The sequence below is a fragment of the Homo sapiens genome, chromosome 5, assembly GCF_000001405.40.
Source record: "Homo sapiens chromosome 5, GRCh38.p14 Primary Assembly".
NCBI classification, from domain to species: domain Eukaryota; kingdom Metazoa; phylum Chordata; class Mammalia; order Primates; family Hominidae; genus Homo; species Homo sapiens.
The window spans coordinates 105,231,799-105,252,484 of NC_000005.10; the positions used below are offsets into that span (position 1 = coordinate 105,231,799).

The 20,686-nt window shown below is 30.8% G+C and overlaps 1 long non-coding RNA gene across 2 annotated transcripts in view, besides 1 other annotated feature; it reads right to left on the reverse strand.

Annotated features, from left to right (window-relative positions):
* Positions 6,037 to 6,237: a silencer, noted in NCBI's record as "peak5386 fragment used in MPRA reporter construct". NCBI's record gives its function as "represses an SCP1 promoter by STARR-seq MPRAs in K562 erythroleukemia cells {active_cell/tissue: K562}" and the evidence as "EXISTENCE:reporter gene assay evidence [ECO:0000049][PMID:32103011]".
* Positions 11,350 to 20,686, reverse strand: part of LOC105379110 (uncharacterized) — a 149,823-nt gene continuing 140,486 nt past the window's right edge. Inside the window, exons 2-4 of one of the 2 annotated variants that reach the window (XR_948649.3) lie at positions 14,499 to 14,568; positions 12,343 to 12,475; positions 11,350 to 11,559 (exon numbers count right to left, since the gene is read on the reverse strand). This is a non-coding gene — a long non-coding RNA (uncharacterized LOC105379110). The remainder of the gene's footprint in view (positions 11,560 to 12,342; positions 12,476 to 14,498; positions 14,569 to 20,686) is intronic. The other variant, XR_948650.3, reaches the window with a different exon arrangement.

A 20,686-nucleotide genomic window follows, 5' to 3' on the forward strand; every position in this document is an offset into this window, starting at 1 on the left:
AAATGGGCCAAAATTGTTTCCATTTTGATGAAAACTATAAACCCATAGATTCAAGAAACTTAGCAATGTTCAAGTACAAGCAATATAAATAGAATGATATCAGTGTAAATTATAATCAAATCACTCAAAAATAGGATAGTACTATAAAAGCATCCAGAAAATAAAGACATGGTGTACCCAGAAGTTCAAAGGGATGGATATCAGCTGGATCCTTCCTGAAACAATGCAGGCAAGAAGACAGTAGTGCAACATCTTTAACGAACCAAACAACAACAACAACAACAAAAAGCAGAAAAGAAAAATTGAGCTTGAATTCTATGTTCAATGAAATCTTTCAAAAATAAAGACAAAATAAAAACTTTTTCAGACATACAAAGCTAAAATGGTTATTACTACCAGACCCATACTTCAAAAAGTATTAAAGAAAATCTTTTGCCAGAAAGAAAATGATGGCAGATGAAAATATGGAGCAACATAAAAACCAAAGGGGACCAGAAACAGTAAATGAGTGGGTAAATATGGAATTTTTAAATTATTTAAATATCTTTAAAAAGTAGCTTTCTGTAAAAGAATAATTATTGTGGAGTTTATAACATATGAATAAGTAAAATCTATGAAAACGTTATTATAAATATTGGACACTAGAAATTAGCATATTGTAAAATGCATATACTATAGGTGAAATGGGATAATGCAAGTTGAAAATAGACTGTGAAAAGTTAAAGAGGTATACTGTAAACCCTACCTAGATTAGCCTCTAATATAACAAAACAAAAGGTTATATGTAATAAGTCAAAAAAGGTAAATACAATTGAACTCCATAACCACAAAAGATAGCAGAAAAAAATGGCAAAGAACACATGGATTTTTTTTTTTTTTTTTTTTAGACTGAGTCTCACTCTGTCACCCCAGGCTGGAGTGCAGTGGCGTGATCTCTGCTCACTGCAACCTCCGCCTCCCAGGTTCAAGTGATTCTCCTGCCTCAGTGAGTAGCTGGGAATATAGGCACCCGCCACCACACCCAGCTAATTTTTATATTTTTAGGAGAGATGGGTTTTCACTATGTTGGCCAGGCTGCTCTCGAACTCCTGACCTCAGGTGATCTGCCTGTCACGGCCTCCCAAAGTGCTAAGATTACAGGTATGAGCCACCATGCCCGGCCAGAAAATTTTTTTTTTTTTTAAATGTAAGATTCTCAGCTTAAGCCTGATCATATCAATGATCACATGACTTGTAAATGGGCCAAACAATTCAATCAAAAGTTGAATACTTTCAGTTTGGGTTAAAAATAATTCATCATATGAAACACTAAAATATGAAAGCCATATGGTTATCTCAATAAAGACATGGAAATGACAATTGAGAAAACCCAATATCCATTTTAAACAAAAACAAAAATGAAATACAACAACAACAAAAACAAAAACCTCTCATAAACTAGGAATAGAAGGGAAATTCCTTAACCAGAAAAATGTACATTTAAAAAAACTACAGCTGATGTTCTACTTAAGGAGAAAGACTGAATGCTTTAGTCCTAAGATCAGGAACAATACCATCAAAACAAAATGGATATATACACTCACCACTTCTATTAAGCATTGTATGGGAGGTTTCAGCAAGTGCAGTGAGTTTTCTAAGTAAATAAATAATAAAGATATCACATTGGAAAGAAAAAAATTAAAACTGATTTTATTCACATATGCAATGACATGTTTGTAGAATATCCAATGGAATCTACAATAAAGCTACTACCAATAAATGTGTTTAACACATTTGCAAGATACTGTATTATCAATTGTGATTCTAGATAGTAGCAATGGACAATTGAAAATTGAAATAAAAAATAAAACATAACTTTCAAAGCATGAAACAATTAGGAACACATTGTCAAAAGATATGCAAGAATGATATACTGAAAACCACACAATGCTGCTGAGATAAATTAAAAGTGATATAAATAAATCTAGGTTTTAGATCTTCTTTATGTAAGTCATATATTGTTAAGAGATTGGAAGGCTCATTAATATTAAGAGGGTAACTGATTTATACATTTATTACAAAACCAATGAAAATCTAGCCAACTGTTTTTAGAGAAATTGCCAAGCTGACCCTACAATTAACATAGAAATGCAAAGAAAACAGAATATCTATAACAACTTTGGTGAAGAACAAAGTTGAAGAGCTAACATTACCTGACTAAAAATTATATTATAAAACATTACTCAAGATAGTGTTATGTGCATCAAGATAGATATGACAGGCAAAGAGATCAATGGAACACAATAAAATCAAGAACTAGGCTCACATATATCTGGACAATTGATTTTTGACAAAGATGCAAAGGCAAATCTATGGAGAAAAGATAGTCTCTTTAACAAATGGTGCTAGACATTTGAATATCCATATAAAAATAAACTTTGATACATATCTCGCATACTATATGAAAGTTAACTCAAAGTGTGCCGTAGCTCTAAAACTAAAGTATGAAATGTTGAGAAAAAAACACAGGGAATATATTTATAACCCTGGATTAGGGAAAATCTTTAGGTATGACACCAAAAGCACAATCCATTTTTTAAAAATATGAATTTAAATTCACAAAAATTAAAAACTTCTGCTATTTGGAACACAGAGAATGAAAAGACGTATCATATAGCAGGAGAAAATATGTACAATGCATATATCTCATAAAGAAATTATATCTAGAATATATAAATGCTCAAAGTTCAATAATAAGATCTCACTTTACTGCTTGGACTGAAAAATAAAAATTGAATAATAAGAAAACAAACAACCTAATTAAAATGGGCAAGGGTTTGAATGAACACTTTGCCAAAATAGATATATGGATAGCTTATAAGCATAGGAAAAAAATGCTCAACTTCATAAGTATTTAGGGATATGTAAATTAAAACCACGATGAGACACCATTACATAATAATAAGAATGGCTAAAATTAAAAATCTGAACATATCCCTGCTACTGGGAATGTAAATAGTACAAGTGGGAAAGTTGGAAAATGTCTGTGTCTCAAAAACTTAAACATACACTCACTATATGATCAGCCATTCCACTTTTAGGTATTTACCAGAGGAAAGGAAAGCACACATCAAAAAACACACACCAAACTATGTATAATAGTTTTATTGATCGTAACCTTAAACTGGAAACAATTCAAATATTAACAAGTGAAAAAATAAGCAAATTGTGGTATTTTCATATGGTAGAAAACTACTAGGTAATAATAATAATAATACACATAACAACATGGATGATCCCACTAGGTGAAGAAAACCAAACCTCCCACCTCCTTCAAAGTATGACTCTCTTTTACGGTATATTGCATCGTTCTATTTATACAAAATGGTACAAAATACAAACTAATCTATAGGATAGAAAGGAAATCAGCAGTTCCCTGGGAACATGTAGGGCTGGAGTTGGAGGAGCAGGCAGTGGGAGGAAGGAGGTATTATCAACGGCATGAGAAAACTTTTGGTGATTATAAATATATTCATTATCTTGATTGTGAAGATGGTCTCAGATGTGCACATATGCAAAAACTTATAAAATTGTACACTTTAAATATATGCAGTTTACTGTATGTCAATTATACCTGAAAAGAACCGCTAAAAAATAATGATGCATTGAAAAATTACTATCTACAATGGAAGCAACGAGCTGGATAATGCCAAATAAAACTTGTCACAGGAGACTATGTTTCATTACTGTGAATTTGATTTGATTTTCTAAGCAACTACCTAAAAGTAGCTACTAAAGATTAGGCCTGGATCAATGCACCTGGGGAGAAATTCCTTCATGGTCCGATTTACACTTATGACATAAACCTATAATAATGTGTTCACTGAAGGACATTTCCTATCCTAGTACTGGGATTCCATTTGAGTGTAACCTACAAGACTATACTGCAAATAACGGTAGAAAGCCAAATCATTCAGATGTTAGAATCAGAAAGCACCAAGGCATTTTGTGCTTTTTTTAAAATGTAGCATTTTCAGACAGGGCACAGTAACTCATATCTGTAATCCCAGTACTTTGGGAGACCAAAGAGGGAGGATCACTTGAGGCCATGAGTTCAAGACCAGCTTGGGCAATATAGCGAGACTCATGCACTACAAAAAGAAAGAAAGAAAGAAAAAGAAAGGTAGCATTTTTAGATGAGAAGCTGCAATTGGTAAATTTACTAGCAGTCTTCCTAGTCAACTGAAAAAAACTAAGTTTTTTAAACAGTATACCTAACTTTATTTAGGAAAATATCAGTAGGTGGAAACCAGTTGAGTGTGATGATTTAAAAAATTTGAAGTGAGCATATCTGGATCAAGATACTCACCTAAATGGGTAAATTTAAACAAATTAATCAACTGCTTTGAGCCTCAGTTCTCATGACTATAAAATGGTTTATAAATATAACATGTTATGAGAAATAAGTGATATATATCAATAAAACACTGAATACATAGCTTGTCATCTAGTTAACATTTAATAAAATAATGCTATAATTATTGTGAATTTTAATATTACTGCCATTATTGTCATTATCATCATTCCTTATAGTGTTCATTTTAAAATCCGTAGAATCTCCAAAATGCCATATTTTACTATAATTGTAAAAAGACTGTGCTACTTTAAATATTTTTATAAGAATGTTAAAAATAAAACTAGTTTCCATAATTTTTAAATAATCATTTAAAATTATTTAAAATCACTCTTAATCATTTAAAAACAATACAATACAAAACAATACAAAAAATCCTCTTGTATTGTTATTCCCTCTGAAAACTCAAGAATTCACAATACAATACAAAACAATACAAAAATCCTCTTATATTTTTATTCCCTCTGAAAACTCAAGAATTCAGTCAATTGAAGATTAACAGGATTTCAGAGTGGATAGTCTTATAAATTATATGTATTCTTTTCAACTAATGCCCTAATCATCAAAATATGTATTATGTTTCAACATAAAAAGTGTTTAACACTACAATTTTAAAGATAACAACAGCTCAATGTAAAGTAAATCAAGTTTAAAAAAAAAACTCTCAGAGTATAATAGTTTGCAAGTTGCATACTTTCTTAATAATAAAATGTATTATTGTTCCATTCTCAATTGTGTCATTTACTCAGGTAGAGAGGAGATCCAGCATCTTAAAATTGAAGGCCCTTTTATAGGTTAATGCAAATGAAAATTTCTCATAATATGAACTCTTCTATAATGTCGTATCACTAATAATTGTCCTTGGCTCCACTGGGAAATAATTCATGCTCTTCTTCCCTGGATTTGAACATGAGTTTTATGTTGCTCACCTGACTAGCTTCACTCAAAACTTTCATATGCAAAATTTATTGAATATATTGTTCAATATATTGTTCATTGATTGGCATTAAATACCATAATATTATTTAGTAAAAATCGCATAATATTTCTACAAATTAGTAATGGAAAATTCTTTAACTTTTTATGTGACTTCATTTTGCAGTCATAAATATGTAAGTATTTTTTACTTTGAGTAGGTCAATTGTTAGCATTGATTTTCAACCTGATTTCCCAGGAAACCAGTATTAGAATTAAGTAGGATTAAAAATGTTCATTCTTGGGCCCTCATACCAAACTACCACAATCTCTAGGATTGAGATATGAGAATGTATATTACTTTACAGTATATATACTTATGTTTAATATCTCTTTTAATGAGAAATTGTTTGTACACAGATATGGCATTATTTTTCTTTGCTATTACACATATTAGGTTTATCTGAACATTCATAGCCATTTGGATCCAGTTGTGGAGAAATACATATTGATTATTATGTATGGGTAATATTAGGGAACTTATATTTATTTAGTACATACTGTTTCCTAAGAACTTTCTTAGTAATTTAAGAAGTTTATCTTATTTAATCTTTGCAACAATCCTAGAGAAAATTCTATAATCTCTATTCAACACATGAGGTAACCTACTTTTGGAAATTAAGTACAGCTGCCTGAGCCAAGGTGCTTGTCTTCTGTGCAACCAGAACTCAAATCCAGAGCTATCATCAGGTGTTAGTGTTCCTGCTCTTTTATACTAATGTCTATCAGTTTCCTATGGCAATGTTAACTACCCTGGAAATTTCTTTTAAGAAACTGAGATAAAACATGGACGCATTTTGTATCTTGAAATGGATCTTTTTCAGTATTCTTGGAGGGTGGGAAAGGCTAGGAACATTTTGATTTTCTTCAGGCAGAATTTATTTCATTAATTACTTTTTTATTATAGTACTAAAGTGTATCTTGTTTCTCAATAGAGTAAATCATCAATTGACTGAAGCCTATTGAATTGTAAAATTAGCTAAAGTCTGCATTCATAAAGAAGTAACAAATCACACATACACACCCACAGACATTATACACACACATTACTGACCACTTTGTTAAAAATGAAACTTCTATTATATACAAATAAATCAATTCCTTACATCATCTAGGTATTACACAAAGGTTTGTAACCCTGATTATGGTATCAGTCAAACCAGAGACCATAAATATTCAGACAACACTATATTAATTTGATATTCTGTACTTCCATCCAAGGCAGAAAAGTAAACTAGCACATTTTGGAAAGCTTTTCAACAACAAGAATTGAAAAAAAAATAAAATGTTAAATGTATATTGCAAGAGTATTGAGGCTGTTTATAAACACAGCATTGAATAGTTCACAGCTGACAAGTTTATTGAATTAATGGTATAGCTAATACAAAGACATATATGGCTACAAGTCATTAGATTTTTTAACTATTAGACTAAGGAAAAATACCATGGCTCATATAAGATCAAGTTATTTGATTGTTTTTGAAAAATACCAATGAGATTTTTTATAGGTATTATCCAAGAACCTCAAAATAAGACCGTGTTTCTACTTTCAAAATGTGAGCACATTTCCTAGAAAACCAGTCATTTTTATCGCTGTGTCAGCATGTGTCTGAGTCACATCTTAAGCTGGGATTTAAACTTGTGAACTGAAGCACCAAAGAAAAACGTGCAACCATGTAAGTAAGCTTAAATATTTATTGGACACTTAGAAATAAAATATTAAGTGATGGGGTCATTTGTTTAGGTTGGTAAGATAAAGTAACTCATATTTTTAAAATATTGATAGGAAGACAGGAAATGCTGTTTCTTACAGTAAATAGTCAGTTGATCCTGGGGCATGAAAGAACTACAATAAATCTTAAAATGTTGCTTTTTCATATCTAATAAAAGCATATACTTAGGCTAAAATGTTAATAACTGAATGCTGATAAAAATTTAATGAAAATCCTTATATGTTAATGTTAGTATATGCTTATGATAAACAATATTATTCATATAAACTTATATGTAATAGAGTACCTAATTATCAATAAATATCAATTGTGTTTGCAGTCTGCAACATTATAAAAAGGAAAAGAAACCATATGATTTTCACACTAAGTTTCAAAGTGTTTAGTGATGATAGAATGACTGTTAATGAAAAGATCTTCTCCATAACAGGGAGATCCCCTACAGTAAAAAAGGTCTTACTGTAATTTAGAATTTGGATGCTTAATCATGACAGGGTTATGTGGGGGCAGTGTGTGCTATATTCATTGCTTCATGAAAGACTGAAAAATGAGAGTGAACACAGCTCTCTTTTCAAGGATATGCTTATTCTTTCAGAGCTTTTTATAAAAATTTTAATACATATTTTAATGGATAGGGATTTACTTAATATCATGATTAAGTATGCCATTTTTAATGTCTTCTTCTAATACCTGTTACAATTTTTTGAACAATTTTTTAAAGTCCAGTATTCAAACTGTTATCTAATAGTTTCTTACAACTATTGTTACTAAAATAAATTAAGATTTTATTGTTTAATGTCAATAGAAAACAAAACTATATGTGTATTAAATGTAGTAATTCTACGCTAATTATTAAAATATTATGAAATAGAGACATTCTTTGAGTCATCATTTCTAACTTAAACTTTTTATCTTTGAGGAAATATAGCTTTTCAAATTGCTAATATAAACATTTTACGATCAATTTTTTTCCTTCAGCTACTAAACAATGGAAAACTATTTCTTTGAAGTTCTTGTTTTGCTTACTAAAGTACATTTTATGCCTACTATATATGTCAAATAATGCTTACTTTGGTTATTCATCCAAAAACATATACTTTAGGCTTAATATGCATCATATACTATTAAGTAGAAACCCACAGCCCTGCTCTATTCCACTCAATTGCCCACATAACACACATACACTAAGAGTGGTGGAGAACAAGCAGTGAAAACAAGTGGAGAACAGCAGTGAAAACCAAGATTAAGATTAGCTGAGACTTGGAAAGTCACTTGTTAAGGTGACTCCCTATAGTCAGGTATTTGGCAATAGAGGTGAAAGTATTACAATAAATAAAATTGGGTAGGCAGGCAGAAGTAAACAGTGACACTCTACCAATCTCTTCCTTCAAAGGCCACATGTGATTGTATAAAGAATGAAACTGATGAAAGTAAAAAATGGAGCAATCAGGTTACCCAGAGAATTTGGAAGTGAGACTCCAAAATTGCATTCTGTAAATGAAGCTTTCATTGGTTGATTATAGTACATTGGGAGTCAGGAGAACCATATTTGAAAGATATACCTGCCAATCAGAAAAATCAAGTCCTCATAAAAAGGAATAATGAAGATGTCAGAGAAAGAAAGAGATAAAATATGAGAGAGAGATTACATTATATATATACAAATATTTATACCTTATATTTATATATGTATACTTATGCTTGAGTGCTTTGAAAATCTTGCTATTGTATTACTTAATCTTATTTATCTTTGAAATTAAGAAATACTTGCTAAAAAATGAGTAAGGGGGAAGTGGAAGAACAGAGAAATCAATTAAGTAAGGGAGAGACAAAATGAGACACAAAAATAAACATGGTGAAGAAGAGATGAAAAGAATGTCTCAGTATATAGGTAATTCAAGCATGCATTTCACTCTTCCAATCAAGTATGCTGTGAGCCAAAGAGAATTGCCGTCTGATTTAAAAACACTGATGAAGTTAACAATTTTAAAGTAAACTTTAAAAATAATATAATTAATGAATTATTAGGCACCCAAATTGTTTTAAACTTTATTTTTTAAATTTTGCTAATGATTAACTTTGATAGCTAGAATCCTCCAACAGATATGTATAAACTCGTACCTATAATCAACACAACTCCCTTTACATGCACATCTTCTCTACTGTCTGATAGATTACTAAAATACCAGGGTACACATATCGAATTTAATTATAGCTATCTATATCAATTTAGTCAACTTTTAAAACGACCCTGAGTCTGCATTGCTTCATTTGTGAAACAGTGATATAAATACTAACCTAAAAGTGGTATTATTAAGAATCAAATGGATAACACATAGCTGTCTGTATATTAGAACACAACTGGTATCATTTTCCTTCTCTTATTCATATTTTGCCCACTGGCAACACTGCATTAATATAATTTCTAAGTTAATACAAGCATTAATCTTTCATTTAAGTGGAAATATTTCAAAACATTTCCTGGGATTGATTTTTAAATAGTCTGAGGCAAACTTATACAAATTATTTGCAACTGAAAGAAGACAGGTTCCTTGGAGATCTGTAAAAATATAATTTATTTCTCACATCTATTTTCTTAGAAACAATCTACAGCAGATTTTGCTATACAACGATTCACTGAAGCTGAAGATAGAAGGTTTGTCTCCAATATATTTGGCTAACATTGTGCAAATCTTGCCAAGGACTTTTTGAGATGAAGTTCATATTTGCTACATCTTTACCTGTGAGTCTGATATTTAAGTGGAAATGTAATATTGTTATTTTTATTATTGAATTTTTAATACGTGCACCTATTTAGTGCAAATAAAATTCACAAAATAGTAAAGACCATATTGATTTTTAGAGAATATATATCAATATTTTGGACTGTCTGCTTTTTATTGCATTGGAGTAAATATCTACTATATAGTAGAAAACCCAGAAAAATAAAAATTGATCTCACTATACAGCTGGGATTTTCTAAGCCTTCTGTTCACATCAGCTGAGAATTGAATGTGGTACAAATAATTACCCAAAATAGACATTTTTCTAAGCACAGTTTCTGTAATGGAGGGTTTTCATTTTATGCATTATGTACTGGGAGTTAAAATGAGGATCCAAGGGGGGAAATTCCCTATTTCATATAAAAAAAATTTTTAAGAGAAAACTTGTCAAATTTAAAAAAGAATAATTAATGAACAGTGAAGCTTTATGTTTAAAAATTTATTTTTGAAAGCAAACTTTTTTAAAAAGTCAACATTTCTCTTGAGAAAAAAGTGATCTTTTTTAAAACTAACAATATTAGATTGGGTGCAGATAGACAGCGGACACATGCTGATTTTTTCTTCTTACATTGGAAGAGTCGACTGATGCTATATGATTTTTACTTTGATAATTAGAAAAATAGCTACTATCATAATGAAAAATAGTCTGTATGTCTTCTAATTTAATAAAGTACTAAAAGAAGCACAGTTAAATAAAAATAAATGAAAAACAAACAGTAAGCATAAAGTGTAAGAATACAAAATAGTGTGCAAAAAAAAGACTTAAAATGCTTGTTTTGAAAAACACGATAGTATGATTGTTTGGAGGATAAGCTATGGAGCCTGATAGCTGAGATATGACATTTATCTTGGTCTCTTCCTAAATGTATAATCTTAAATATGTTATTTAACCTCGCCATACTTGAATTTCCTCATATGTAAAATTAAAGTAATAATAAAATAATCTTCTGTTTTCTTTTGTGATTATTAAATGTGTTTTGGGTAGATTGGGCCTTAGAATAATGCCCACTTTTTATTACCAGCACTTATTCTTGCACACAGCTAACAATTAAATCCATTAGAAGAAAAATTACCTTTAAACTCAAAATACAACTAAAAAAGGATTCTTTAAAGGTTACATATTTTACAAAATGAGGGAATAAGTAATGAAAGCAGAATATAAATGTTTCAGAAAACAGGAAACGAACCCAAGAGAAACATGAAGAAAATTCAAAAGGTAACAGGAAGTCCAGAGACTTAATCGAAGGCCTATGGAATTACTAATCCACGATTTTAAAAGCTAAGGGAAGAATCCAAGACAAATGTTCTTTTAAAAATCCTATTAATTATCTGTCAGTTTTGACCTAATTAAACAACTAAAACAAGGTGACTGCAAACTACATACTTGAATCTCAAAGAACAGTGAATTTACCATGAAGCTAATGAATCTTTAATTTTCAAAACCCCTACCTTGTATAAGGCTGTGGAAGAGGCCCAGGGAATTTCACATCAAACTATTCTACTGTTTTCCACACTGTTATCCCTTCAAATGGAAGCTACACCTCTCCCCCCGTATCTAGAGCTATCCTTAATCTCAATAAACTCAACCTAAATATATTTCAAATCATGTTTACCTTAACAATTAAAAAATAATGTCCATGGTCATTGCAGAGTCACTAAAAATGAAATGAAATGTGACCTATGAGAGAGAATAAGGTAAAATGTAAATGAGTTTATCTAATTACATTTAAATTAAATGTTAATTGCTTACTTATGCAATTTTTATGAAAATACTATGGGCAAGTAAACATATTCATAGAGTCTCAGTTTTTGAAAGTGGAGTTGGGCACCTTAATGGCTCAAGTTTCGTTGATTTAGTGGTAAGTCTGTCCCTGTTGAAAAAGTTTTAACTTTATCTAGAAAACAGAATATGTTACACATAGAAAACAATGAAAAGATTTTTAACAGAGAGAGGGGCAATAGTTCTGTGAACTTTTCTATTTTAGCTTTAGCTATCAACTTCAATAGCATATAATAATTTTTAATGCCCAAGCATGGAACCTAGAAGTCATATAAGAAACATTTGTTGAAGTTGGCAGTAATTTTGAATCTATGCAACTAAAGTTTACTACAATAAAAAATTGTATAACTCCAGCAAAGTAAGAAAGAGTTGATAAACTAATTCATATAACTCAAATCCTGTTTTTAAATTATAGCTATTTTCCTGCAGATACATCAAATTAAAATTTATAGGCATAGTTTCACCATGCTTTCTCTAAAGTGTAATTCTCATTGAACTATGCCACCTTGAATTATAAAAAAGGTCATATAACATTTATAATCTTTTTTAAAGAACCATAGGAATTGTTTTTCTTTTCAAATATATATAGGTTATAATGATGGAGAATACTTAAAAGGACAAGAATTTCCCTCTACGATAATATCAAGAACGCTTTTATTAAATTTTTTTGAAGCAGCATACCATGGTAAAAACAACAACACTGATCCTGAGATTTGAAGGCAAAGGTTAAGGTCTCAATTCTGAACCTTGGCAACTCTGCAACTGTGGACAATCACCTGTCTTTTATGCCTCAGTTTAATATGTCAGATCATGTCTGTAATAATAAAGATCTGTTATTAATATTACTCAACTGAAGATATAGATTTCTGTAGCTAAACATCATAAGAGACTTATTTGTCTAATAAATATCATAATATGAAATGTATAGATATAAAAACCCTTTCTATGTTTCAGATATTGTACTGCAAGATTTGCATATATTATTACATTTAATTCTCAAACTTATGATGAAAATGCTGATACTATAATTTTTATTTTACAGATAAAAAATTGATGAAAAATAAATACTTGCCCAAGGCCATCATCATTTAAGTGGTGTAGGTAGGGTTTTAACAGGACATTCAGCTTCTCTAGTCTCCATGTAAAAATAGGTACATACTGATCCATATTTTTGCCTCCAATGAACTCAAAATTGAATTTTAAAATCTTGTTTAAAGTAGCATTAATATATATTTATTTAATTGAAAACTCTATATTTAAAAATAGAAGCTTTTAAAAGTGTAAAGCATGGTAGTTCCATAAAATTAATATGTTAGTTCAATATTTATGAGTTTACATGTGACACTGATCAAAACTGAAATGATGTTCAAAAATATAATTAAAGAATGGATTAATGCTTTGTTTCCAAAATATAATATTTTGGTGTAGAGCCAAGTATGACTATATTATGTGTGATTTATAATTTGTAATTTCAAATAGTTTCCAAAACATTGGATGTTTCTTATCTGAATACTCAAGAAAAGTGTGTGTTTACTCAAATAATAGTTTAAGCAAATGTCTGGCCTTTTTTCCCCTTTTCTCATATCGTATCAAACCAAATCTCATACATATCATATCGTAAAATATCTCATATGGTATCATATCACATATATCATATCATATCATATCGTATCATTTCTATCATATCGTAACATATCATATCATGTCTCATATCATATCAAAAGCCCTAAGATTATTCCTCTCCCTTCACCATTAATTTAGAAAAAGTAGAGGAAAAAAATTAAAGGTTAAAGTGAGAGCCTACAAATCCTTGTCTTTGCATTGGCTTATTTTTCCCACGGAAGATTTTTCTTTCATTTAATTTGTTTAACAAACATTTATAATTCCTACCATGTACCAGATACGAGACACAGGATTAAATAATTAAGGCCTCCCCATCATACTCTGGTTAGGGAAAGCTAAAAAAGAACGTATATGTCGATATATTAGAACAAATGGAAGATGGTTTACAAAGACAAAGCGTAAGTATTTAACTTGAATCCGGAATGATCAGTAACATTTGCTAATATTTTGTATTGATAAGAAGCATTTGTTAAGTTTTTGTTTTGTTTTGTTTTTACATTTGCAAAGAACAACTGGAAGGGTGTAGCATAAAAAGAGTAAAAAAGGCAGAAACAATAGCATCTATGGATTCCTTGAAGCAAGAAAAAACAGGGCATGCTTGAAGAGATTAACTATAATCCAACTATTTAGAGTTATTTACATGGAAAGGGAAAAGTAAACAGGGGAGTGGATGCTGAAGGATCAGATTGTGAAGAAAGACATGGAGGAATTTTTTTAATTTAGCACAAATAATAGAAAATGATTAAAGATTTTTAGGATGATAAACACCAAATATTGGTATGCATTTAAGGAAATTTTTAAAAGAATAAGGCAGGGGTCAGGGATACTCAGTTAATGTTTGTTTTAGTTATTCAGAGAAAAGATTATAATGGCCAGGTCTAGAGTGGTGGCAGTGGGATTGGAGAAAAAGGGAATCATTGAGTAGAATCAAGAAAAGTTAAATCGCAGAACTTGTTTGTATGTGTCAGTTGAGGGAAATGGAAAAGGGAAGAATGGTGAATGAAGTTCTGAATTAAGCAAACTGGGTAGGCAAATGATACTTTGAGAAGGTTAAACCTTGTTAACAAGAATAGAGGATTTCTGATTCAGGTTTGAAACTATATATACGAGTCCCAGACAGACAGATAGGTAGTGTACTAGTTCATTTTCAAACTGCTATAAAGAAATACCCAAGACCAGGTAATTTATGAAAGAAAGAGGCTTAGTTTACTCACAGTTCCACATGGCTGGGAAGGTCTCAGAAAGTTTACATTCACGCCAGTAGGTGAAGCAGGCACATCTTACCTGGTGGCAGGTGAGAAAGAGCAAGTAGGGAAAAATGTTTTATAAAACCATCAGATCTCATGAGAACTCACTCACTATCACAAGAACAGCATGGGGGAAAACACCTGCATGATCCAGTCAGCTCCCATCTAGTCCCTCCCTTGACATGCAATAAGTATGGGGAATACAATTCCAGATGAGATTTGGGTGGGGACACGGAGCCAAACCATATCAGGTAGATAGGTAAATAGGTAGGTAGGTAGATAGACTAGATATAGATAGATAGATAGATAGATAGATAGATAGATAGATAGATAGATGATACATACATACATACATGCATCATACATACATATTAGATAGATTTGTCCAATAGAGAATTGAGGAAAAGAAAATTTATGCTTCAGGGAAAGTGTAAACTGTAGATTTTAGTTGGGAAATTAAAGCTATACTGATCAGTCATTTTCATGAAAAAAGATGTGTGCAAATATTTGAAGCATATTTGGAAACTATAAAGGCCCACATGGCTTCCTTTTCTGATTAGTGTGTAGAAAGTAAAAAGAAACTATCATTCTCACTCTAACAAACTCATCAAGATGGTAAAACTAAAAATCAGAATATTGTAGTTTTTTCAACCCAACATAGAGCTATGGCCACAGAAAACATAAATAACTAAATTCAGAGAAGAGCAAGACATTCACAGAAGAGATTAGAAGAAGAACAACTCCTCTCATTAGCTGGCAGAGGGACCAGATGAAGAGGAAACTATGGAGCGAGACACAAGCAGCAGAATACTTAAATAGTTTTCAATAATTTTAGTAATTGTCAGCTACTGAAAGATGGGGCAGGAAGGGGAACTGAAATATATTTATCTTAATACTCTTAGCTTCAGCCTAAAGGAGATTTGAGCCATTTGAGCCAAGTCAAGATATCAGAGAGAAACTCCTCTGAGGCATTTTAGGCTTTCAGCTACCATAACCCAGGAGTGCGGCAGGAGAGCTGAGACAAAATCCTTTAAGCCATTCTGGGCTCTTACAAAGTGTCAGGCAGTAGGCAGAGAACCAAGCAAGGAGAAATTGCTCTAGAAACAGAGAAACATGGTAGCAGAAAGCAGAGTGAACCTACCAACAACCCACAAAATTGGTAGCTAGGAACTAAAGTAGACAGAGATCTCTTCCAGTACGGAAAGTTGACGGCTTGTTTGTAAAGGATAATGAAATCCCTCATACCATGACAGTTCAAAGACAAGTCCTGTTAAGGAAAATGTCCAAAACCATCACCCAGACATTTCTAACCACTGGTAAACTGAATCAAGCTAAAACTCTTAACAAAGCCCAGGCAAGCTCAACTGATAATCAGATTGATTCAGTCCCTCACTGCAGCATCCTAATAGAAAAGGTAATATGCTATTTTCTAAGGGTATATATTATTTATTCTGGTCTCTAGTAGTCTTTTATATAAAATAAATTGCATAAAATTAATTAAACTTGCATAAAATAACTTGAATATATTTTCAGGAAGAAGCAATTAAATGTGTCTCATTACCAGGAAAGAGAATAGTCAGTACAAATAAACCCAGAGATGTAACAGACATTTGTCAGATAGCATTTTAAAATAACTATAATAAAAATGCTAAAGAATTGGGAAATTTCATCAGAGAGGTAGAACTATAAAGGTCCAAATGAAAATGTTAGACATTAAAAATACAATAGCAGAAAGGAAGAATTTATCTAACGGGCTCAAGAGCAGATTGGACACAGCAAAGTAAAGAACAAATTGGAATATGCATGTATAAAAATTATGTAAATATTTTTAAAAGGAAACAATTTTATAACAGAGAAAAAATAAAAGCAGTGTGTCCAAGAAAGGTGAAAATATTAACTGATCTAAAGGATGAGCAATTTAAGTTTAAGAAAAATAAGGGAGAATGAATTAGGAAACACATTTGAAGATTACTGACCACAAACTTCCCAAATTTAATGATAGATACAGACACACAAGATTCAAGACATCAAATGCAATACAAGCATAATTATCATTTTAAAAAATTACCTCTATCTTATGAATACACATTCTACTCAACAGTATGTGGAACATTCCATATGATAGGTCACAAAATGAGCATTAACAAATTTACAAAAGATCAAAATCATATCACTTTTTTAAATCACAATAGAATAAAGCTAGAAATCAATAATAGAAAGAATGTTGCAAACTCTACTGTGGAAATCAACATGCTCCCAACAATGAATGGGTCAATGAAGAAATTAAACAGGAAATTTAGAAATGCCTTGAGACAAATGAAAATGGAAACACCACATACCAAAACTTTTGGGATACAGCCCTAAAATGTATACCAATAAGTGCCTACACCAAAACAGTAAAAAGACTTCAAATAAACAATCTACAATGCACCATAAGGAACTAGAAAAACATACACAAAGTAGATCCAAAATAAGTAGAAGAGAAGAAATATAAAGATCAGAGCAGAAATAAAAGAAATAGAGATTAAAAAATGTTTAAAGATCCACCAAAGGGTAGGTGTTTTAAAAAGATGAACAAAATTGGCAATCCTTTAGCTAGATGAAATAAGGAAAAAAAAAGACTCAAATAAATCAAATCAGAAACGAATAAAAGATATTATAAGTGACATTACATAAATATAAAGGATCATAACAGACTCTTATGAAAAACTAATAAATTGAAAAACTCAGAAGAAATTGATAAATTCCTGGACACATACAAGCTACCGAGATTAAATCCTAAAGAAGTAGAAAATGTGAACATACCAATAATGAATAATGAAATTGAGGCAGTAATAAAGACTCTCCATAACAGAAAAGCCCTCACATCTGATGGCTTCACTACTGAATTCTACCAAACATCTGAAGAAGAACTAATATTAATTCTCAAACTCTTCCAAAAAATTCAAGAGGAGGAAATGATTCAAAACTTGTCCTATGAGTCCAGCATTACCCTGATACTAAAAACAATGACACAATAATAGTATCATCAAAAACTACAGGATAATATCCCTGACAAACACAGATGACATATCCTCAACAAAATACTAGTGAACTGAATTTAACAGTACTTTAAAAATATCATTCACCATGATCAAATGGCATTTATCCTAGGAAATGCAAAGATGGTATGACATATGCAAATAAATAAGAGATACATCACTTTAAGAGAATCAAGGTTAAAAAAATATTTCAATAAAGCAATAAAAAAATTCAATAAAATTCAACAGTCATTCATAATAAAACTTCCCAAAAATTATGTACATAAGGACTATCCTCAAGACAATATAAGGCATATATGACAAATCCACAGCTAACTTCACACTGAATGGGGAAAAATTGAAAGTTTTTTTCTAAAATCTTTAACAATACAAGAATACCCACTTTTATAACTTTTATTCAATATAGTACTGAAAGTCTTAGCCTGAGCAATTAGGTAAGAGAAATAAATAAAGGATATACAAATTGGAAAGGAGAAAGTCAAGTTGTCAATTTGTCCATGTTGGCAGAGAATATAATAATGTATAGAAAATCTTAAAGACTCTTCCAAAAACTATTAGAACTAATAAATGAATCTGGTAAAGTGGCTGTACATCAAATCAACATGCAAAAAATCAGTAGCATTTCTATACACCAATAGGAAACCACATGAAAAACAAATCAAGGCAGCAATTCCATTTATAATAGCTACCAAAAAATTCAAATACATAGGAATAAATTTAACCAGGGTGATTAAAGGTCTCTACAGTAAAAAACTATAAAACATTAATGAAAGAAAATGAAGAAGACACCAATAAAGAGAAAGATATCCTATATTCATGAATTAGAAGAATTCATATCATTAAAATGTTCATATGACCCAAAGTGATCTGTAGATACAATGCAATCTCCATCAAAATACCCATGGCTTTCTTCACAGAAATAGAGGGAAAAAAAATAAAAAACCTTAAAATTCACATGTAAGTGCAAAAGATCCCAGAGAGCCAAAGGGATCTTGAGCAAAAAGAACAAACCTGGAGGCATCACACAATCTGACTTCAAAATACACTACAGTGCTATAGTAATCCAAATAGCATGACACTGGCATAAAAACTAACACATAGGTCAATGGAAGAAAATAGAGAACCTAGAAATCAATTTACAGCCAACTGAATTTTGGCACTTGCCAAGAACATGCAGAGGTTGGGGGTAAAGGGGATGGGACAGGTTTGTCAATGAGTACAAAGTTACAGTTAGTAAAGAAGAATATTTTCTGGTGTTTTATTATGTAGTAGGGTGACCATATCTAATAACATGTATTGTGCATTTCAATATAGTTAGAAAAGAAAACCTGGAATCCTCTTTATCATCTTCCTTATCACCACAAAGAGGTGCTAATTACCCTGGTTGATCATTATGCAATAGATACATATATTAAAACATCAAAGTATACTCCCATAAACATGTACAATTATTATGTGTCCAACATAAAAAAGTAAAAGATCACATCTAAGTATGTTATAGATGAATTGCTAATAACATCAAAATATCAAGTGCATAAGGAGAAAAAACTAACATACTATATAAAATGAACAGTGAAACATAAAGAGCAATTTTTATTTATTTTTCTTTTCATTTCTACTTTTTTTAGAGATGTGGGTCTATGTTGCTCAGGCTAGATTCAAAGTCCTAGATTCCTACAGTAACCAAAATAGTATATACCCAAAGGAATATAAGTTGTACCACAAAGATATGCATGCATATGTTCACTGCAGCACTATTCACAATATCAAAGACATGAAATCAACATAATTTGCCTATCAATGGTAGACTAGATAATGTAGTATGTATATACCATGGAATACTACACAGCCATATAAAAGAATAAAATCATATTTTTGCAGCAACATGGATGGCGCTGAAAGCCATTATCCTAAGCTAAGTAATATAGAAACAGAAAACAAAATACTGCATGTTCTCATTTATAAGTGGGAGTTAAACATTGAGTATACATGTGTACTTGAGGGCCAAGGGTGGGAGGAGAAAGAGGACAGAAAAACTACCTATCATATACTATTCCTATTACCTGGGTGGCGAAAGAGTCTGTACACCAAACCCTCATAAAATGCAATTTACCTATATAACAAACCTGCACAGGTACACATGAAGCTTAAAAAAAACAGAATGATTATCATATGGAAAAAGCAAACAAATTCCTGTGTTCAAATTATCCTCCTGCCTCAGCCTCCTGTGTAGCTGGGTTTGTACGCATGTACCACTGAGCTTGGCTAGGCCAATTTGTAATCAGAAATAGAAGATAAAAAACAGTATAATAATGTTTTTAACATTCTGGAAGAAGAAAACTGCAATTTCAAGTTCTATATCCAACAATTTTTTTAACAAAGTGAAATAAAGGAAATTTCAGACAAATTGAGATAATGTGTCATCAGGAACACTGAATCAAAAGAGAAGCTAAAAGAAATCACTCACACTACTTTTAAAATGACAGCACATGAGCCACAAAATTGCAAAAAAGAATAAAAAGCATCAGAAAGGTGAAATATTTGTGTAAATGTTACAAAATGTTTTAAGCCTCTTTAAAAAATAAATAATAAACATTTATCTTCAGTTTGTAGAAGAAAAATTTAAGACAAATAAATCACAAATGCAGAAGTTGGAAGAGATGGAATTATATGCTGGTAAAGTTTTTATACCATAAAATATATTTATTTGATGGAAGATAGTAAAAAAAATTAAAAGGCATATTTTAGTGGCCATCAAAAATGCTAGATATATATTAAATACATAAGACAAAATAAAATTTAAAAATACTTATAATCAAAAATAAGACATAAAAATATAAACATATTTTAAAAGAACAAATGACAGAAATAGTAAAAGAAATAGCAAATAGAAGACTAAACCCCAACTTCATTAAAAACTACAGAAACTCTAAGTGAACTAAACAAATCATTTGAAAGTCAGAGACTGTTAGCTAGATGGAAAAAAATTAAAACAAAACTACATGGTGTTTATAAGAAACCTGCTTTAAGTATAAAGAATCATTGTAGTTGAAATAAAAAGAAAGAAACAATAATTTTATAAGCACTAATGAGAAGAAGCTGACATAGTTATCA